Raw genomic sequence first — 22,635 nt, 5'->3', positions numbered from 1 at the left:
CTATACACATGCAATAAGTGTTAGAAGATTACAGAGGACTTCAACCAATGCTTTCTTGTTGGCCAAATTTATCTAACCACAGAAGCTACTTTCTGGACAGAATTGTCCTTATGGTATTACATGGACCGAATAATACCTAGTCAGACCACCATAAGGACAGCCACATTGAGTGTTGGGTCCAAAGACTAATTGAAACACCTTGACATTATTCTACTGCTTTATCTACATTTTGAAGACTGAACTGGGAATCACTGTTTGAAAACGGTCTTTATTACAACTAGAGAGTTTATTTTATCCCTTGAGTGTTAACCATTATTTTTTTCTTATATTAAAAAACTTTATATTTATTGTAGAAAAAAATTAAACAGATACTCTAAAGATAAGAAAGTTCAGATCATCCCCAATCCTACTACCCTGAGATGACCACCACCAATATACTTTTAATACATATTTTAAGGTATTTTTGATATAAATAAATGTATATTTTTTAAAAATTGAGATCCAGCTGGGCACGGTGGCTCACACCTGTAATCCCAGCACTTTGGGAGGCCGAGGCAGGCGGATCACCTGAGGTCAGGAGTTTGAGACCAGCCTGGCCAACATGGTAAAACCTTGTCTCTACTAAAAATACAAAAATGAGCTGGGTGTGGTGGTGTGCACCTGTAATCCCAGCTACTCGGGAGGCTGAGGCAGGAGAATTTCTTGAACCTGGGAGGGGAGGAAGAGGTTGCGGCGAGCTGAGGTTGGACCATTACACTCCAGCCTGGGCGACAGAGCGAGACTCTATCTCAAAAAAAAAAACAAAAAAACAAAAAAAATGTTGTGATCTAACTGTTTATTATGGAATCTGCTTTTATTACTTTTATTCTTCCAACAGTCTATGTAATGACTATCAGTTCTATAGAATCCAATGTTTTTCCAGATCCTTATTTTACTGAATCCATAGTATTCCATTGTATGAATAATTAAAAATTCATTTTACTAACCCTCTATTTATGGTAAACAGGATGGAATTTTTTATTACTATTAAAAACATCACAAAATTCATCTATTTAGCTAAAATTTGTATGTAATATATGTGTTACCAATTAGCTGATCCTCTAGCATTATCCTCTTTCACATGTAAATAAACATTTTCTTGGGCAAAGTATACTCCTAGAAAAAACATTCAACAAGCTCTTTTGTTTAACTCAACCTATTTTTTAAAAAATGTATATTTATAGTCTGACTAAAATAACTTGTTGCTAATGGAAACTATTACTTTATGTTAATAACCTTAAAATAAACCTTTTCAACCTAATCAAATTTCTATCAGCATTCTCTATGTTGCTTCAGCCATGCTGATCATTTGCTATTCCTCCAGCATGCATTCTATTCTTAAATACCATCAGACCTTTACAGATGTGTTTCCTCCTAATGTCCTTGGACTACACTCAAGTTGCTGTACTAAATTATCAACTACCCTGTGAACCCCTCATTTAACCCCATCTGTGATAGTCATGTGCTGTTCCTGTAGATAACCTCGTGTGCTAATCTCTATTTAAGGTCTTTTTTTTAAATCAAAAGTATTTGTTTATATGTTCTTCTTTTTCAATGGGTTGTGAACAACTTCAGGTTGAGGTTTATGTCTCATTCACTTTTTATTCCCAGTACTTGATGAAATGCCTAACATCTACTAGGCATTCTGAAATGTTCATTAAACTAAATAATGACCTGAGGATATCTTGACAAGAAGATAATTTTTTATAAACGACAGAAAACAGAAGCACAGCTACCTTCAGCAGGTCCTGACTGGGGCTGCACAGGGCTCAGCCAACTCTGGTGGCCTCAATGTCATTTTAAAGGATAAAATGAGCTTGAAGCTTTGAGTTTCCTTCTCCCTTTCACCACTGTGAATGATTCAAACGTATGTATGCACTCACCACCACCTCCCAAAAAAACCCTAATTTGGCCCCATCTGTTGGTGAGCATAAGGAGATATGGTTAGATTTTGAAGCAAAGGGAAGAAGAAGCAGAATAGTGATTGAATAGGGATTTGACATTCTTAGGGATTGTTATCCTGTCCTTCCATTAACAGGACTCTTTAGGCAAGGTGAAGGAGGAAAATGACATTATTACAATTACCTTTAAACAAATAAGCCCTAGATGCAGAACAATCTTAACTTTATGTATTAATATTCATTTGTAACTATTGAATGTGTGCTGTTGGTGAAACATCACATTAGATTTTCGTAATGGTGGCATGACCGATGGCTCTGAAAATTTTTTTGTTCCACCTTCCTTGTATTGAAGCCATATAGCTGTAAAGAGAGACTTAGGAAGCCAGAGAAAGGAAACTTTGGCTCACCCAAAAATCCATCTGAAGCAGTTCAAGGAAACATAATTCCAAAAAAAAAAAAAGAGAGAGAGAGAGAGCTTCCCCTTATTGGAAGGAGCCAGAAAGAGCAACCCACTGGGGTGGGGGATGACTTAGAGGGCTGTCTCCCCACTGTTTGTGAAGTTGCACTACATGATTTCCAAATGTCTTCCAAATCTAGAGTCTATGAATGGTTATAACTATTTATGCACAAAAGCCTCCATCCGGAATCATCATCCCACTCACAAATAATTTTCATGTCTTTTATTTCACATTTTTCTTTCCAAATGAGAAATTAGACAGACTCCTTTATGTTTCATTTTAAAGAATGTCTAGATTAAATTTGGGAATAGGGATTCTATATCTAGATGTAGATATAAGCTTTAAAAGCTAACCTATTGAGTGGATATTGAAATCTTTAGAAATCTTTTTCTTATATCAAGACTATTTTCCTGTGTTTGCATCTGTCATGACAAGTGTGATTAAATATTCTGGCAATGGTATTCAACAGGCATACTATCACAAAAACAATTTCTGTGGCTTGAAAAGTGATGTTTAAAGCCATTTCAGTGATACCAAATGTTTCTTTGAGGTTAACATCTTGTGACAGGAAATGAACACAGCACTAAAAAAAAAAAAAAAAAAAAGTGCAGCTAGGCATCATATGAAAATTTAGTATATTTTCTTATGAAGAAATTTCCTTAAACAGATACTTACTTTAAACTTATTGGTTAATAGTATTATATACTGTTAAATAAGAATACTTATTTTTTAAAAAAGACCTGGGAAACACATAAAGGTTAAAACACAATTTTATTTTTAATTGAAATTGTTTTTAATAAAATCTCATGAGTGTTTTTAAGCTCTGAGTATTCACATTTGAATATGGTGAAAGTGTGTATATTTAAAGAAGTAAGCTATTTAACATATTGTGTAATATGAGCCAGATAATCTGCTTTGATAATGAGGACCCTGTGCAAGTAAGGCAGAGACCATGATCCCAGGTAGAAGGCAAAAAAAAGAAAAAAAAATCAATCTATTTCAAGGCCAATAGCAACACTCTAACACTCCATTCAACCCTACCGAACATACCTGCATGGTCTCAGCCACTCATCCCTATAATTTGACAAGATAACCAAAAGTATATTTGGTACCGATGGTAGTTAAGAGTTTCAAATGTAAATTTCTACTTTCATATTATTATTTTTGTTTGTGCAGTTGGTTAGTTTGCTGTGTAACTGACTTTGATGCAAATGACATACTATGATACAACATATTAAGAATAATTGGAACTTGAATGTACTTACTTTCTCATAGCCTATTTTCCTTCTTTTTAAAGAATGGGACAAATAATGTTACCAAATAAATGTTAATCAAGGTATTTAGGAAAGAATATGAAAAAGTTTAAAAGTATTATTTAAATGCTATTATTCTACTTATTTTTACCATAAAAATTGTAACTCAGTCTAAAATAATTTTATATTTATAAATGAAATATATGTGAGTCTATAAACATACCTATGTATTCTCAACAAGATAATTTCATGTGCCCTATTTTATCCCTCCCAGAGAAGCCATTAGTTGGAGTCTCTAAGAGTCACTAGTCAGACTTCACATAGTGTTGCCTCAATATTTGCCACAGGTGTCTGATGTGGTGCAGCCGGAGAAACAGAAAAGCCATCATCTTTGTTGTGGCCATGAGTGCGATCCTGGGCGAGTGGTCACAAGTTCCAGGAGATGGACCTATGTATTGTTCATGGGCCACTGCAGCTCCTCACTTGTGGCTTGATCACTTCCCTATCCAGCCAGGAAAAAACAAAAAACAAAAAAACGAGACAAACAAACAAAAATATACAGCGATAGGAAAAAGATAATTTATTCTCAGGCCCAGGGAGAAGTTGTCTTTAACACTTTTCAGAGAGAGTATACCTAAGATCCTATGAAGATAACCAGAAGAAAAGTAATACAATTACAAAGTGCAATGGGCCCAGGGTCCTGTAGGTGATATTGGATTCAGTTAATGCATTCTTCATGATTTCTCATTTGAGTTCTTATGCTAAAAGTCTGGATGACTCTGGAGGCTAGGCATGTAGCTTAAATAGGTGGATCCAGATGGATGTGTTTCACAGTACATGGAGAAAGCACTGTTGACAAAGATGAAGTAGAGAATTCAGACCTCATAAAAAAAAAAAACCCACAGCAACTCAGCCGCTACCCAACACTGCTACAGCAGTTTCACTCTTGCCATCTTTCTGATTTTTAAAGAGCACCTAGGAATCTGGATTTTAATGGAAAATCTAAAGTTCAGAAGTTGTCAATTCAATAATCATAATTTAAAACTCTGTGTAGCACAAACAAAACATGTCCATAGGCTGCTTTCAGCTCATAAATATGTGCTTCTACTGGAAATTCTGAGAAAACTAAGACTGGGCTTCAAGCTTTCAGATTTTGTGCCTACTATTGTCTCTTGGTACCACATAATAATTACTGGTACCACATAATAATTGACTTTATAAAATAATTAGACTTAGTTGACAAAGCACCTTTGATGTAGAGCTGGAAAATCTTAAGTTTTGCCAAGACATGCTACAGTAATGCTCCATTATATTTCAAGACAATATCTGGTTAAAAACTAATTCAGATAAAATAATCCATATTTTAAAAGCTTACTTATATCTTTCCATTTCTTCTGTTATGGAATGGACTTTGGTAGTTAAGTCTACTTACCAATCTGGAAACAAAGCCTTTAATTTTGGTTTATCATTAAAAAAAAATGGGAGGAGCTAAATTATTTATTTTTAACATCTGAGAAAAATAACATTAACACAAGCATAATTATAATATGAACACTAGCATTGGTTATTTGATCACCTGCAATTATGAGTAAGTGCTTTTAAATTTCTTTATATGCAATATTTTGGCATAAATTGGTTAACATCTACACTTACCTTAAGATATAGGTACTATTATTGGCCTCATTTTACAGATGAAGTTACTGATGATCCAAAAAGTGGAAGCCATTTGCTCAAGGTCACACAGCTAGTACCAAGGCAGCTTAGTTTGTGAATGTGAGTGTTTAAGCAACATGTTCTACCATTCCTATTACTACCTATACTTATATTGAGTCCTTTGATGAGCCAGATATTCTCATCACCCCAATAGCCCATGAAGAACATGTTCTTATCCTCATTCATAGGTGAAAAAAGTGACGCTCCAGGATGGTAATAATTTGCCCTTGTTTGACAGGGCAAATGGGTCCCAATCCCAGATTTGACATCCAAAGCTAGACATATTTCAATACATCACAGTGCTACCAGAATGTAATAATTTCAAAAAAAATCTTAAATGGAACCTAAACCACTTCTGTTTTGAATAAAAATCATATTCTTTGAGTTTATATTCAGTGTTGATATAGGCTAATTAGACAAAATATAGCTAATGAATTAAGTCTTTTAAAGCTCTTTAAGATTTCTATTCATTTCAAGATAAAATAATCTCTTTTCCTTAACATCAATCATTCTTCTTCATATGCAATGCTTGTTATTCATCTTAAAACATATATTTATTATGTTTTAACAAGTTTTAAACTATCTCTTTTCTGTCCTACTTAATCATTAGATCCCAATTTAGAATATGAGTAATGTTTTAAGAAAACAGACAATCTCTTAATTCTGAATTATTTTCAGAATTGAAAGAAAAAACTTTCTACTGCCTTTCCGTGATGGTGACACCCAGCTTATTTTTATTATCATTCTGACCTTTTTAAGCTATAATTTTTAATAAACATTTTGTTAAATGATTATTGAGTTACTGCTTAGAATATTGTATCACAAGAAAATTATAATTAATGCTTGTAATTTCTCTTTACTACTCAGATCTTACATTCTTTTGGAGGAGAACATTACCGTTTTCTCATTTACATATATATAAATCATATAAATTGGCACATTCCTACTAAATGAAGTTTCACTATATTTTTATATAAAATACTAGACATATCAGCAATTTTAGGGAATATTTAAAATAGTGGATACCTTACACGTTATTAATTGGCTCCCAGTCAACTGGAGCAGAAGTACATTCAAGCGCAGATACAATTTCTCAATTTGAATAACCATTTTATATGAATTTAGGGGATGTAAAAACTGTGCTTTTGCTATATATATCTCCACATTATGCCTGAAAAGATTTAACATTGGAATTGCACTAGTAGAAACTTGCAGCTTTTATTACCAAAAGCAAGAATACAGGGCTGTGGGAAAATCTGATAAACCAAACTCTAAGACTCATGACTTAAAAGCTCAATTTTTCCTCCCCCCACCCCATAATGTTGACCTTGGTCTGGTCTGTTTCTCTCTGATTGTTTAAATTGCATTCTCCTTCACGGATGGTGGTTTCTTATTAAATTATTTATTGATGTGACTGACACTAGTTGAATAGATTCATTAAATTTCACAAGTTGTTAGAGCCTAGTTCACTGGAAAGAAAAACCCCTCTTTAGACTCTTTAAAGGACAAAAAGCGTCATGTTTTTTGAGCTCTTTTAAAGTATTTAATAAAGCATGAAAAGATATGACATCAATCCTACTAAAACACAAGAGAAAATGAATGATGTTACTGTAAATCTTTACATCAATCACACCCAATACTTTGGAAAACAATATAGTTTTGTTTGCATTTCAGAAGTGACAAACAACTCTTGTGACTGGCTTAACATAGTCACTTTCTATTAGTCAAGACCAGAAGCAAGTCAGAATTAAAATGTGGCCCTGCGTTGCTAGGCAGCTGAGTTGTCTTGACATGGTGGTTAGTTTCCTTTTCACTGACTGACAACAGTGAAATGAAAGAAGTTTTGAAAAACTTGATAATGGTTTTCAAAGGAGGAGGATAATTGGTGGTGCTCGCTTGTGCAGTTCTGTGTGGAAACTTTCAGGCGGCCGTGAGAGAGGACTGTCACTAAAAATTTAAACTCTTGTACACAAACTTGACCTAGAGTCTTCTCCAGGTTTTGGCGGTTCACTTTCAGAACACCCCTCTGAGACCAAGGGGTGTAGGATGAAAGCATTAAGACAGATGGGTAAAGCCCCAAAAGAAGAAAAGAATCAATAGTTGTGATTTAATCCATTGATGAAAAGGAGGAATTAAGTAAAATCTTAAAAATTAAGAATATGTAAAATAACTTTAGATAGCACCCGTGACAAAAATGTTTTAATTGCATAGCGAGTTGCAACTGAGCAGAAACTTGCATCAAATGCAAGAAATAAAGAAAAGTACATTTTTCTTTACTAAGCCAGAAAGAAAACAATTGCCCTGATGTTATTTTTAAAAATATTCTCTAGTTGATAATTTACCTCAAAATGTATCTCCAACATAACTCCCAAAGCATAGAAATAATTACAGCTTAAGCATTTGTTGTCTGTGGCAATAATCAAATATAGCATATATTTAACTAAACAAACAAACCAAAAACTCAAAAAACACATACACAGAAAATGCATGTTGCTCACTATTTCATCCAAAACCACCTAATGCAAGAACATTTTAACTATCTTTGCCATTAATTTACCCAGAATTTTAAAAACTGAGCAAAATGGACTCATACTGAAAGAAGGGACCAATTAGTGTTGGATTAACATTCATGGTTATTTACAGTTGTTTTTGTACTTGTTCTTGTGCTCTGACTTCCTAAAATTTCACAACCCAAAGATTTAGAAAAATGGGGTTGTTTAGACGCAAAGTGCAATGAAGTGGCTGTGACCATTGTGTAGACACCACCTCTCTCATTATACCCTCTCAATCAACGCTCAGTACACAGGAAACCGCAATAAAGCCCATCTGCCACGGTTAATCTGCAGGCAAACCCACACCCATGTCTATGCCCGTTGCTCTCCAGCCTTATTATTCTCAGATCCAAAGCTTCATAAGGGATCAGCCAAAGTCCATTAAAGTAAATAATAGCTAGAAATGACAGGCTTAGCAAGGATTGGGAGGAAGTTGAAGACCAATCTGAGCTCTGAGCTCTGATTAATAGAGAAAAGCATTAGGAGAAAAGGGGAGAAAAATGACCTCAGCCTGCTCCAAAGAATTCCTGAACCTTCGTTGTTAGGGCAAGTGCTACCATCTGAGACGTTAGTGATCCTTGAATTTCCTTCACTTTGATGCAGCTCAAATGGGAAAATTTTGAAAGTTCAGCAAGGCCCCAGACCTCAGCTGGAAAGCTGTCTGGAGTCAACCCTGTCAAAATTCTCTTGTGTAAGAGAAAGCCTTTATTAGCTAGATTGCAACAACAACAATAACAACACCCACAAATGCCCTACACAGTCTCGTAAGGAAGGGCTGCTGCTAGAGATTGCAGATGCAGTTGCTATTTCTTTGCATATAGTCATTTTTAAAAAGTCTCCAAACAAATGTAGTAAAATAAAACAATAGTGATTCTCAAAATAAACGCCTTTCAGGAACTAGCTGGATTTAGTCTGCTGGTAGGAAAGTATATGTGTATTTGTGTGTGTGTGTGTGTGTGTGTGTGTGTGTGTGTGTGTGTGTGTATGGGGGAATGTGCTTGGGAGGGTATTCAAATATTCAGTTTCATCTTGATATTTAATATTTATTTTCACTGTGCAACACAAAAAAATCTTTCTTGAGCAGTTCAAACTTGTTAAGTCAAGATAGAATCATAATGTGTTTTAGTGATTTCAACTGCATGTTTTATATAAATTGACCAGGAAAAAAAATTCCAAATTAGTTGCAAAATAATTTCTCCTCTTAAAATTTTAAAATTATTTTACAGCTTCTGTGTGATACACTTCCTAATGAGAGGAGCCCAGGCAATGTCATCTCCTTCTGTCTCTGTGCCCCACATTAAGTGTATTTCGTCTTCAAATAAGACAGTTTTCAATTTTGGTACAGCTCTTAACAGTGCTTTGAAGAAATCTATACCTGGTAGACCTATTTGTAATAAATAAGAAATTTCAAATCTGCTGTATAACTTTTAAACACGATTTTCCTTGTATAAAATTCCATATTCTATGTGAAATGTGGATTGAAATTAGAATAGTAGAGAAAGCTCAAAAACTGTGAAGGCTCTTTTAAAGTAAGAGCTGAAGAAAAACAAAGCAGCCCCTGCTTATCTGAAATCCCAGTCTGAAGGGGAGAAAGCATTTGGCAGAGGCAAGCAGGTACTGGGAAAGTCCCATGGATTTCTTAGGAAGATAGTAATGATCCTGATGAGGACTTGATGTCAGGGAGGCTCACCTTTGAATGTATTTCTTGTTCAAGTTTATATTGTAGCATGCAATTTTCGTAAATAAAATGAAGGAGCAATGTAAAGAACCATGGTTAAATCATAGTGTTTCACAGATATCGCTGATAACTTGGTTAATGCACTGTTGATGTGCACGTGGTACAATTTTCATATTTTAATCTTAAGTAGAACATGAAATGACAATTATGAAAAGACAAAATAGATACCACCAACAGCTGTAATTGCTATCTAGGCTGCTCAAAGATGGGCAAAAGACACAGTAAATCAATATTAAGTTCTCCAGAAATGCAGGTATCACAAGGACATCATATAACATCATTATAAGCAAATTCTTATACAATTTGGACAGTTGTAAAGAACACAGGATTAACACAGAGAATGAGAGGATAACTTGTCCTCTGTAACTTCAGTTGCTATCTTATGGAAAAAATAAATCTCTGGGACTCATGACTATGTAACATTTAGTTAAGGCTGTAAACCTTGTTGGCTTTAATAAATGAGTACGGTTTCTTTTTTCACAATTTAATATGTAAAGATCATAAAGGGTTAAATGGTTCTGCCATGTGTAATTATAATAAGTTGAAATTTAACAGTCTTAATACACTGACTTACATGAAATGCTTTTGTATATAATAGTATATCCTAGGCCTACATTTTGTGGTGTTACAGAATACCTAATTAAACTTGTGGGTTAATAAACCAACTAAACTTAAAAAAAAACTATTAAAGATTAAAGGCATGGTATAAATATAATAAAATAATGAAAATTGAAACTGCAAACCTTCGGGATTAGAAATGAAATGGGAAAAAGGCAACTAGATAAGGAAATAAACAAGAGCTTCAAGGAAAAGATATAACAAATGCAACAAATATGTAAAAGTAGTTTGGTCATAAAATTAAACATTTGCATTTCAGGTTCTAGTTTTAGAGTGTAATCATTTAAATGGCCTAGAGAAAGTAGTTCTGATTTTATTCACATCTTTCTGGGGCTGTTAGTTTCCCTTGTGGGAAATGAAACAACACATAGCCCAAAAACTTTTCATAAATTCTTATTGATTTTTTGCACATATTCATAAGTTATTTATGTATTTATAAATATTGGAGAAATATTTCACATTTCAATTGAGCATTTTAAATTTTTAAATGAAATAAAATGTTTAGAATCTATTTATTCCCTTATCTTCTTCCTCATTCCCATAATTGAGCCTCATTGAATTGAATTCACAGGCTCTTCCACCATTACATAGAGAAGCAATATAAAAGAAACACTTTTCATCATTATTATCTAGTTTACATAAAAATGCTGTAAAAATGGAACTAAATTTGAATCAATTTGAGAATTATTTGGTATCAGAAAATAATCTATTCGTCAAAAGGTTATCAATTAGAATCAAATTTCTTTGTGTGTGTGGTAATGACAAACAAGAAAAATAAACAAAAACATATCAATTGTTTACCATGTGGTTTTGCACTTCCACAAAATTTTTATCTCTTTTGAACATTGTATTCATGTTGGCATTCGATGATAAACATACCTAAGTTACTTTGCTATTTATATAAATTAAAAAATTAAACGTCCGTGTAATATATTTTATGCACATGCGAAACATGTTTATAAGTAATCAAGTGCATGTTATTATGCATATTATGGCATATACTGCTCCATATGCCTTATCTCACATAACATGCACAAATAAGCAACTATTAGGTTGGTGCAAAAGTAATTGCGATTTTGGCAATTAAAAGTAATGGCAAAAAGTGCAATTACTTTTGCACCAATATAATAGATTTTATGACCTTGAAATACACATTTTTTTACTCACTAAATGCCACTGAAATTTTAATTTTATTCCTGCAAAGCATGAGTTTTAATAATAAATCCACTGTGTACATAAATGGGATTGTTATTCCAAATGCTCTCCATTAAACTGTACAATAGAATTGACATTATAAAATAAAATATAAAACAATTTCTCTTTGGGTACATTATATTGCTGTTGACACTTAAAACTGCATTACTTTCTGTTCTTGGTATCAGAGCAGAATATTTAAAATGAAAACTACTTTTCTTACCCTTTTACTGAAGACTCAAAAACAGAAGGCTATTACTTTCTGCAGTAATAATGATCTTCAAATTCTCTACATAAGAATGAATTAAAACCTTTACATTAACCACAAGGTGTCTCCAATCTGTAATTCTCTAGATTTTCCCTCCCCTTCATCCTCATTTTTTGGTGCAGAGTGAATATATACAATCAGATTGCCACATTTGGAAACTTCAAGAAGATTCATTCAGATGTAAATTGAAAGTGTATATTTTAGAAGGGACTTTATCAAACTGAAATATATATAATATACTATACATAAGTAACGTTATATATGTCATAGTTATATCTATTATATAATGATATATATATATCACATGCTTATAGTATAGCACATGTTTAATAAGAATTTATCAGTTATTTTATGAGTATATATTTTGGAAGTTGGCCTCTTAAAAATAGTGACACAACACCAGAAAAGAAAAAGAAAAAAAGTTTAACATCAAAGCATAGCTTGTTTTAGTTTATTCATAATCAATATTTAATTTTTGAATAATCCTATCAGCCAGCTATAACCAATTACTCCAAGAAAATAAAAATTTCATAGTGGACTATGCACATCAAATAGCCACAAATACAACTAAAATCTTGTTTTTTACCGACCAAAACTATTAGTGAGAAGTAATTACTAAAGCCAATCTCATTATGAAATATGAGTATATAACTGAATATGTAACTAAATATGAATATATAGAATAAATCTGATTTAAAAGAATTCCAACTACAGAAAGTCTAATCCAAATCCATGTATGGCTTATCTCTCTCTTTACCCAGAAAGATAACGTGTATGTGTGTGTGTGTGTGTGTGTGTGTGTGTGTACGTGTGTGTACGTGTGTGTTTAATGGGATGCTGTTTATCCCACTATATCTTACCACTCTGTCTCTTTGGATAACAATCACAGGACCCAGATGCTAAGGGTAAGTGATATTTTCCCACAAGCGGCTTCTGGCTCCTTGGCAGACGTAATAGGCAGTTGTGTTGGCAGTCGCAGTGCTGCCTCTGGCTCTCTTGTGTGGCTTTGCTGTTGAGAGGATGCTTGGCCTGCCCTGTCCTCCTGGATACCATTTCCCTCTGACAGCCCTTGGGTTTTGTGAGGCTTTATTCTGTACAAATCCCTTGTGCAGTCTCTGGATGAACTCTCTAAAGGCAAAATAGAGCCTTTCTTTCTGGTTGTGTTTAATGATCAGCTGAATTGCAGGTCCAGGTACTCAGGAAAACCAAAACCAAAACCAAAACCAAAACTTTTCCAATTTTTTCTGGCTACTTTGTTTTAATTTCTGATCTTGTTTTCACCCTGAGCACATTGTATCCCAACTTAATTGCCAGCAAGTTGGCCAAATGATTTTGTATAAATGTTGTGCTTTCAGATTTTTATGTTGTAATTTACATGATTTTTAAAAGTCCTTTGTTTTCCCATATTTACCATCATAAACAAATTTGAAGATTTATTTTAGATCATAAATAACAACATAGAATATCTCCTGCAAAAAATGTAAGAAAGGAATTTCATGATTTTACCAAGTGTGATTGGCTGATAAGCTATTTAATGAAATAAAAGTAGTATGCTTCTGAAATTGATAGAGAAGTAATACTTCATTCCTTGCATGCTTGTAATTTGGATGACATTTTGAAGCATGTGCTCAAGTTGTACAAACAAAAGCACACAGCAGAGCCAAACATGGTTTCAAAGACACCAATATAGCTAACTGTCTGCTGAGTAATTTGTGACATTTTCACACATTTCCTTTCAGTGATATCACAAAAGTAGTCACAAGTGTGTATCATGGATTAAATGATTCTCTGCCTTACTATATACCTGACCACAATCCCCAAGGCAAAACAATATTTTGGGATACTGATAGCTGTATTTTCTTTGTAAGCTGAAATATTAACAAAGACCTAGAGTTTCCTAAAAGAAATATTAGGAGCATTTTGATAAAAAGGCTCATTCCAATTAAACCTGGGTTGAAATGTATTTCTTTCCAGTCTGCCATTTTTATCTCATATGACTGTAAAATTCTAAAATTATTGATGCTGTGTTTTATAGTTTAACAAGTGAATTACTTAGCAGTCAAAAAAAGACTATACAAGTTTTATATGGGTCTTCAGATAATTATCTAAAACAGTTTCTTATTAAATAAGACTTCATGTGCTTTATGAAAAACTGGAATGTGTAGTGTCATAATATTATAAATTAAGAGCAAATGTAATTTAAAGAGGAGCTTCACTGAAGCTTCTAGGAGAAATAAAGATCATACCTCTTCTTGACAGCTGTGATTCTGTTTTTACAGACGTTGTTAATGTTGAACCCTCTCTGATGCAGAGTATGTTCTTACTGTAGCCAATGTTCTGCAAACCATGTGCTTCTAGCTCAGTGGAGAAATTAACCACATTCTAATGTGACTTCAATGTTCTATGACATGTGATAAATCCGTGTTCTGAAAGAGCATTTCTGGTTAAATTAGCATAAATCCTCAAAGATTATTGACAATTGGGTTGCTATCAAGCATATATTCTTCTTTTTTTCCTGGATTGACTTTGCTCTTTCTTAAATATAGAACATTTAATAAACATTTGTGGAAACAAAAAAATGTTAAGTAATTTTTTTACAGCATTTTGACCTTTTCATCTTCCAGTTCTAACTGGGAAATGTGGCATTTTCAGAAAAACTATTGCTAAAGCTTGGCTTCTCATTTTCTACAATATATAAAAACTCAAAAGATTGTAATTACATATTCTCTACACTATTTGGTGTTAAGTTTTACTATACTCCTCTGCTAGTAAGTTTTTTTTCTTTTTCCTTATTAAATACCTGCATTATTCTGTTTGGGTTTTCCCCCTCACTAATTAGTTTTTGGTAATGTAGAGTTGTATTTTAAAGACCTGAAAACAAATCGTAAATAAGGTACATTTATTAACAACAGAGTCCCTGGTTAAGATTCTCTAAAACAGCAGAAAGAAAGCTAAAACTATTTTTTGTTCTCTTTTTACCAGTAGGTGTCACTACTGGGACTAAAAGGTAGTGATCTCAAGCCATCTAACAGAATTTAATTTTAAGATCAAGAATTACCTGTATGATCCAAAGGTAATTTACTGAGCCATGCTAACCAAACCACCCTGTGAAAAGTTACTTGGTCAAATTTATCTCAAAATCTCAACTAAACATTTGAAATACACATTTGAAATGTGAAATGACCCTACTAACAATATGCTGGCAAGGGACCCTGAGATATCAGATATTACAGCAAAAAATAACTCATGGAATTTTTGAAAGATATAAGAGAATAAATGTAATTTGAATAGTATTTCGGTATGATCAGATTTCAAAAATATTGGATATAAAAATGTTGTAAAACAAGAGGATTAGGGTTTTGCCTTTTGAAAAGTTTCAAGATTGCATGTAGTGTTACCATAATATTCCACACTTGAACAAAGACATTTATGGAGTCAGGTTTTCTTTTTTCAAAGAGAAAAGTCCCTGAGCTTCCTTATATAGAGACATCATAAGTATCTTCATCCTAGGAAATATTAAATAACTTTCAACTTCTCGTGGAAAAATTAAATCTTTACTTTTTTTCCCCCAAAAGTGACTTCACAAAGCAGTGAAGCTATTTTCAGCCTAATTTCATGAAAATATAGTGCAATGATATTTTCAGGTTAAATATCACTTGAGGGGACTATATTTTGTTCACATTTCCTAGGAAATCTTAGCAGTAAACTTTCGCTTTTTGATTAATCAAAATATTTCATGGGCACTTTAGTTTCATCTAAAGATTTTATTTCAGTTTTTAGTTGGTTGTGGGAGATATATGGATATGTGTGTGAACAGTGTGCCTCCCCAACAAACAATGTCAAGAAATACAATTTCATATCAAAATAGTTTTAAATCTTAAACTTGAATGGGAGCGTTATGTACAAAGAAAAAAAAGATTACCTGTTATTTCTTTGTTGAATAATCTTAAAACATCTCTTTGAGTCCAAGCAGCTCATACATCAGAGCTTGAGGGTCCTTTTATTACCTGAGAATAAGCAGTTAGATATGACAGCTTCAAAAGTGTGAATGCCATTATTCAATGTTTTATACAGTATATTCATTGGTCATCCATCTGGTGTGCAACTTTCCAATAAAAAAAAGCCGAAAGTCATTCTCCTGCTTGTTTTTCCAGGGCAGTTCCGCAAGGACAACTGCACAGAGACAGATTCGCCAGTAGAGGCCTCTCTAGATTTGCCTTCTGATTACAAACTCAGAATGTGCCTTGAATCTGCTGCAGTTAACACAACTACTTGAAAAGATTCTTGTTGCATAGGGAAAAAGATCACTCTTTAATGCCCTTTTAAGTTCCATGATGTTGATTAATGTTGCCCTTTACATTAATGATGTTTCAAGTAAAAGAAAACAAATTTAAAATGGATAAATTCTATTGAGGATGCATTAATTAGACAGAGACTTTGCCATATGCTGTGGCTGGAGGGCTTGCTGGCCTTTCTCTTGTAGTTACCTGTGTAAAATCCACCCTATCCTCTACATGAATGCCCAAGCTGAATAGCCATTTGAATGAAGGCTTTAGTTTGATTCGCCATACAAGGGGTACTGTGTCACTGTGTTTTCTTTCTAGGAGTCACTAAGTGATTTCTATATCTGTTGTCATGGTGATATAGCAAAGCAGGGGAAAATGGGGGCAACTTCAGGCTTTCTCCTCACCCTCTGGACTAAGATGTTGTTAGCAAGCCTATAAAACATTGGGCTTTATCTGGGCCTTCTTTTTGTTCTCTGATTGTCAATAAAACTCATTTTAAGGGTAACAAGGACATCTAAATGTCATCTGTCACAGTGTTAGAGAGATTAAGTTTGTTTAGGGACTTGTGCTGGACAAAGGCCACTATTTGTTTCGCAGATACAAAGCAGTGTTGGCTATCACCACTCTTGATTTAGAAGGAGGCCCAGAGACCATCGAGGAAATATCATCTCAGTTGCAGGTGTCTTGACATGACAGCATTAAAAAGACAGAAAAATAGTTATGGTTTTGAATGGGAATCTGCAGTTCTGTTTCTCACACCCCTTTGTAGATTTCTCAAACCTAAAGTCTTCTCCTAGACTAGATGGAAGAATTTTGAGTTCAATTTCTGAGGGCTTCAGGCCTGTGTAAAAACATGACATACGCATGATGGTCTCTGAATGAATGATAAAAGAGAGAAAAGAGGTTTTGCAAGGAAAATCCAACAATAATGTATACTGCATTAATTCAACATTTGCTCAATAATGAGGCTAAATGGAACGTACAGATTAATGAAGACATTGGTGTTATTAAAATCAAATCCTGTGGTTCGTATGCTTTTTTTTTAATAATGAACATTGTGGCTATTGGAGAGGAAGAACAGGATTTTTTCTATTAATTTGGCACACATCCCAGATCTCATTCAACCAGAACCTATCCCCTGCAAAATGCAGCCCATGGCCTTTATGTGCCTTATTCTTTCTATTTTATATGTGTTAATTTGAGTGAAAAAATATTTTCTCTCTATAAAAATATTTCTAAAGTGAATCTGGAGCCTAAGTAATAATTCAATAACATTAAACTAGGATGCTTTTTCTAACATAAAGAGGGATTGGAAATATACAAAATTACATGCATATAATGTGGTGCTCACATCACATCTGCCTGCACTATGTAAATTGATGCAGCTTTCTTGGGACTTCTAGAATCTGAGTACATCAATGCATCTCAAATACTATATTATAGAAAATATTCATGGTAGCGAGGGCCACTATGTTGAAACATAGATGAACTATTATAAATGTTGAGCAATGGGAGAATCTTTGTTTACCTTTTATTATGTCTCTATAATTTGGATATTTATGAAATATGATGAAAACAGAGTAGTATGGTTCATTTTACTATATCCCTGTGGGCACAACCCCACATATAACACACTTATGTGTACAACAAACACATCACCTGGACCAGAGTTGACATTAGGAATGACAATGATAAACTCCCTCATGATCACGACTCTGTGGAGAAAGAAAATATACACTTATATACGCTTATATAGTAAACTTGAGTGTTCTTAATTCAAGCTCTCTCAAAGCAACTTGAAAATCTGATTTTAATCGTGCTGAAAGAGATCTGGGTGTACAGCCATAAATGCTTTATATATCAACTATTGGATGGATTCCATATTAGTTGTAAATTTGGTAGTTAATGATGAAGAAGCTAAACTCATAAAGACTAACATCAACATCTAGAACTAGACCTTGTAAAAAATAAAGTAGGAAGTTGCACAATCACATAGTTGTTAATATACCTGTCATACTAAACATGTGTAACTACGAAAAAGACTTACAGCTGGACTCCCTTTTTATAAAATTCCTGAAGCAATTACCACCAAGCTCAGTTTGATTTCTTTTTTAGATAGAAAAATTTATTCTACACAAACTATTGAAAGCAAATACAGTATTGAGATGCTATTACATCAATATTATGGGCCTAGATGACTTTTGTTTAGTATCTTAATAGCTCAGTCATTTGTTATTCATTCAGCCACACACGGGACACCAGGGTGTTATGAAGGACAATACTCTTGGGGCATTTTGAGTTCAATTTTTGTTTCTCTACTTATGCAGAACATGTGTTGGCATCAGCCATGGTTACAACAGGGGAATCACAATATACAGTGAAGTTTTACCACGTTGCTCTGAGATAATTTTTCATTTTTCAAAACAATCATCAGAATAGCTGAAGTATACAGTTCTGGTGCTTTATTATTAAAGTTACTGGATATATGCTTTCTTTCTGCTTTTTAATCTCATTTCTTGTGGTTTTTCAGATGAGGCATTTTCTGAAAGAATAAAAAGCAAATTCCTAATAAAAAAGGGCATTAAGCTGCAAAATAGGCCAACAACATGAAATATTTGTTATTTATACTTATAGGTAAAACAAGTTGACTGAGAAAATAAATTGGATATGTCCACTCATCCCCAGAAATACACAGGACACAGCGCGAGCGCGCGCGCACGCGCGCGCACACACACACACACACACACACACACACACACACAGATTTATATACATAAAGCTTTACTAGTTTGTCTTCAAGAAGACATCAATGTTTTCTTAGAGCTTTTGTAGCTTCACAGTTCAGAGTAATTCTAATTAGAAAAGTTGAAGGAAATGGATACTACAGGGTATCATTCTTTTTCTAAATTTCTTGAGATGAAAATCCTCTAAGTGCCTTTAAGTAGCTATGCAATTTGAACAAATTATTTAATTCCTCTAGCCTCAGTTGTCTCTCAAGGAAAATAATAGGGATGGGATTAGATAACCTCTAAATCTTCTTGCACTTTAAAATGCAGTTAACAAATTCATAATAAGGTTTTCAGTTTTTAAAAAATGTTTAGTGTTTTGAAAGCAACTTTTTATTAAGAAAAAAACAGAATTGACAAGAGCTCTATGGTTAAGAATAATATTCAAAAAAAAAACAGATCTGTTTAAGATTTACTGTGCAAAATTAAGAATCCAGCAATTGTATTCTGTAAGTACTATAGTCTTTTCATTTCTAACAAATGCATAGCAAAAAAGTTCATCAAATTGGTTCTAAGTTAATTCATCAAAGCTACATATTATTCTGGATTTTTAACCATGCCTTTGCATTCAGGAAATAGTGAAACAACAAATGAAAACTTATTAATGAAATGAACTTTTTATAACAAAAAAAATGTTTGATGAATAATACGCTTACTTGATATGTCATTGTCACTTGAACCAAATGAAGCACTTGAGAATGTTTCCTTTCCTCCTGCTCTCCCATTCTGCTTCCAAAATTTTGAATCATTTTTTCTATTGTTATTTAAAGCAATCATACAACATCTAAATTTATCATAAAATAGCTGACTTTGGTGGATAATTTCTACATGATCAAATTTCCTTTCCACCTTACAGAGCACGGTATTTGTTTATCAGTTGTGATCATCTTGAAGTATATCTACAATGATAATATGAGTAAAGAATTCTAACATTGACTTCTCAGGAATGTTTTCGGCCAAAGTACTCTATGTACGTAGAGCAGCTTAATTAAAATATTGGATGAATGTTGTTATATATAATTCTTTCTCCTGCTTATCTACCTTATTCATTAAAGACTAAATATTTTTGTTCCAACTTGTGAATATAAAATTATGTATTTGTCCAAATTTTATTTTATTCAGGTACTAATTAAAATTGAAATATATGCTTCAATAGAATCAGCTTTTGATAAGTTAATAATAACTCATTTTTATTAACAATAATAACTATGTTATATGGAGAAAAATTCTAAAATGTTTGAGAAAGTATAGAATCAGTCTGATAATGCATGTTTGGAAAGATAACCCTCATCATATTTTCTTAGTAGATATTGGTGCATCTTATTTTTTTCAATGCATTCAAAATACTGAAAAATTGAGTAGTATATTATAAAGTAATTAAAATTCCTAATTATCTAATCTTAATTATTTAATAAATTTTTTTAATTTTCTATATTTTAAATTACACTAATAATTACCATCATCAAAATTTTTAAAGCCACAATGTAAGAGAAAACATAATGAAATGATTATATAGTTAAAATAAAATGTGTTATTTGAATCTCCATTACAGCTTACTATTTTTAATATAACAGATATTCAATTTTACAAAAAAAAGTTTTGTACACCAAAAGATACATAAATTTAAAATCTAATGAGAAGATAATATATATTAAGAATTATTTTATCACAATATTGACATTTTAAAAATGTTTTTAGGGAAAAGTTTTTAAAACAAAATTATAACTTTGAAAATGTTAATAAAATCAGCTTTCCAATCAAATAAATTTTTCTATTTCTGAATGTATTATCTCCTCCGTTTTTAGAGTCAATATTCTAAGCTAAAATGCACATAATATATACCAAAAATTGGTTAAAAATAATCGTAATTTAAGTTTTACTTGAAGGCCACCCTCTTAATAATACTTCAAGTTGAAATATTTGAGTCCTTAATTACTCTGCCTGAATTTGTACAATCTGAAAAACAAACAAATAAATCGGTTTAATGCATGAAGCCTGGGTAAGCATGTAGTTCTTTCATTATTATCATTGTGGTATCTGAACAATAGATTTTCAACCTATGAAAAGAATAAAAATTTATTAGCTATCTTTTTATAAGCTTGAAGTTTCAATACTATTCATTTTTATGACAAAATTGCAGTACACGCTATAAAAGGACAGCTTGTTTCTCTCTTAATACCAATACTTATGTTTTTGAATGTTTTAAGGATTTTATATCTTTGCAGATACAATTTTTAGTATAGCTTTGGCTAAAGTGAAATATTCATAGATATTTTTCAGTTCATTTTTAAGGTTTATCCTGTCAGTTCTGATGAAAAAAAGCAGATTAAAAAATACTTTCTGACACCTAATAATAAAATGATTATTTGATTATTGGAATAAAATGAATTCCACTATTGGAAGTTCAACTGAAAAAAATAACATGGAGTTAGTAATATCAGAGATATTCAATAAGCAAAACATAGTTCCCATAATATAATTATTCTATTGCTTTCAAATACTGGCTGTCATTAGGTGAAAAATTGTTAATTCTGGTATTAAGTTATCTTTAAATAAAAATGTTATTGCTGATGCAACTCAGTATTAGAGTAGAATAAAATACCCAAGGAATGTGGTAACAGCAGAAGAAGAAATATCTGTTTTCACAAAATATGTGACTATTGTTCATCTGTATATGAACTTATATGTAATTTAAAAAATAACATGTTAATCTGAAATGGCAACATGTTCATTGGGTAGTAGCCATTTTGGAAACTCGAAAGACATATCTTTACTTGTTTGCCATTACCAGACTGAGTTTCTTTTTCTTTGATTTCCCTTTTTCTTCCTCCTCATCCATATGTAGTTTATGATATTTAGTACTCCTTTCTTCATTGCATTTTATCACTCTTAGTTCCCTCTTTTACCAAAATCTTGACAATTTGTTAAGAATTTTACTTCTTTAATAATAACCTTTAGTAACATCAATCATTTCACATTTTAGTCTCTCATTATTTAGATTTGATATTTAATGGTACTTTAAGTAGCTTAGAAAAGTTAGTTTTAAAACAAATAGTATTTTTTATTTAAATAATATTTTGCTTCCTGTAAATGCTTCCTGAAACAGGACTCAAGTCTCTTTATCAAAATGACCGAAGTCGTATTATAATTTGGCTTCCTCTTCTTCAAAGCGTTTCTTAAAGTCAGAAAATACTTGCCTTTGCAGTTACAGAGTGCAGGTTGAGGGGAAGCCATTTTTTAGTGACATTCAAAAGCAGCAAAGGGGATAAAATAATTTACAAGAACTTTATAGTATTTAAACATAGGTAAGAATTGAAATCAAAATAAAAGTAGACTCCCAAGCCTGATGCTAATATTAGAAAATTTATGTGTGTGTGTTATTTCTCCACCTACTTTTTTAAATTTTAAATAACCCTTTGAAAGTTATTTGTGTGAGTAGTATGAGTAGAGTTTTGGCTTCAGACTCAGAGAGGTCTGAGTTCAAATCCTGACTCTGGAAAAAGAAAGTAAATTCTTAACAACATATTTCATTCGTATGTAAAATGACGATAAAGGTTACAGTTATTCTGTGACAAGATAAGGTACCTTAAGTATTTATCAGAGAACCTGACACTCAGGAATGCCTCAGTAAAGTTGGCCTTTGTGATGTTGTTGGTATTTCTAGCCAAAAAGTGTCACAGAAAAAAATATTGGCATAGAGTCAGGGGAACATGTTGATTGTAACCCTTATAAGATAAGTAGCATAGGACAATTCAATTAATTTCTCTGAGCTTAAATTTCCACTTCTATAAAATATTCTATATCTTTGAGTGGACTGTGAGATCTATGT

The 22,635-nt window shown here is 32.6% G+C and overlaps 1 long non-coding RNA gene across 1 annotated transcript, besides 2 other annotated features; it reads right to left on the bottom strand.

Moving 5' to 3' along the window:
- Window positions 1-4,208: 4,208 nt before the first annotated feature.
- Window positions 4,209-14,079, bottom strand: LINC02032 (long intergenic non-protein coding RNA 2032). Its single transcript, NR_134937.1, has 2 exons — window positions 13,981-14,079; window positions 4,209-4,500 (listed from the first exon to the last, which is right to left on the bottom strand). It is a non-coding gene; the product is annotated as a long intergenic non-protein coding RNA 2032 (long non-coding RNA).
- Window positions 6,439-7,668: an enhancer, noted in NCBI's record as "VISTA enhancer hs1203". NCBI's record gives its function as "enhancer in: neural tube[5/7] | hindbrain (rhombencephalon)[5/7]" and the evidence as "EXISTENCE:transgenic organism evidence [ECO:0001131][PMID:17130149]".
- Window positions 7,856-9,010: an enhancer, noted in NCBI's record as "VISTA enhancer hs654". NCBI's record gives its function as "enhancer in: midbrain (mesencephalon)[12/15] | forebrain[12/15]" and the evidence as "EXISTENCE:transgenic organism evidence [ECO:0001131][PMID:17130149]".
- Window positions 14,080-22,635: the final 8,556 nt, after the last annotated feature.

Source organism: Homo sapiens, chromosome 3, assembly GCF_000001405.40.
Source record: "Homo sapiens chromosome 3, GRCh38.p14 Primary Assembly".
Taxonomy (NCBI): Eukaryota; Metazoa; Chordata; class Mammalia; order Primates; family Hominidae; genus Homo; species Homo sapiens.
The sequence above is the reverse complement of the archived record's forward strand: the minus strand, read 5'-3'. Positions and strand labels throughout refer to the sequence as shown.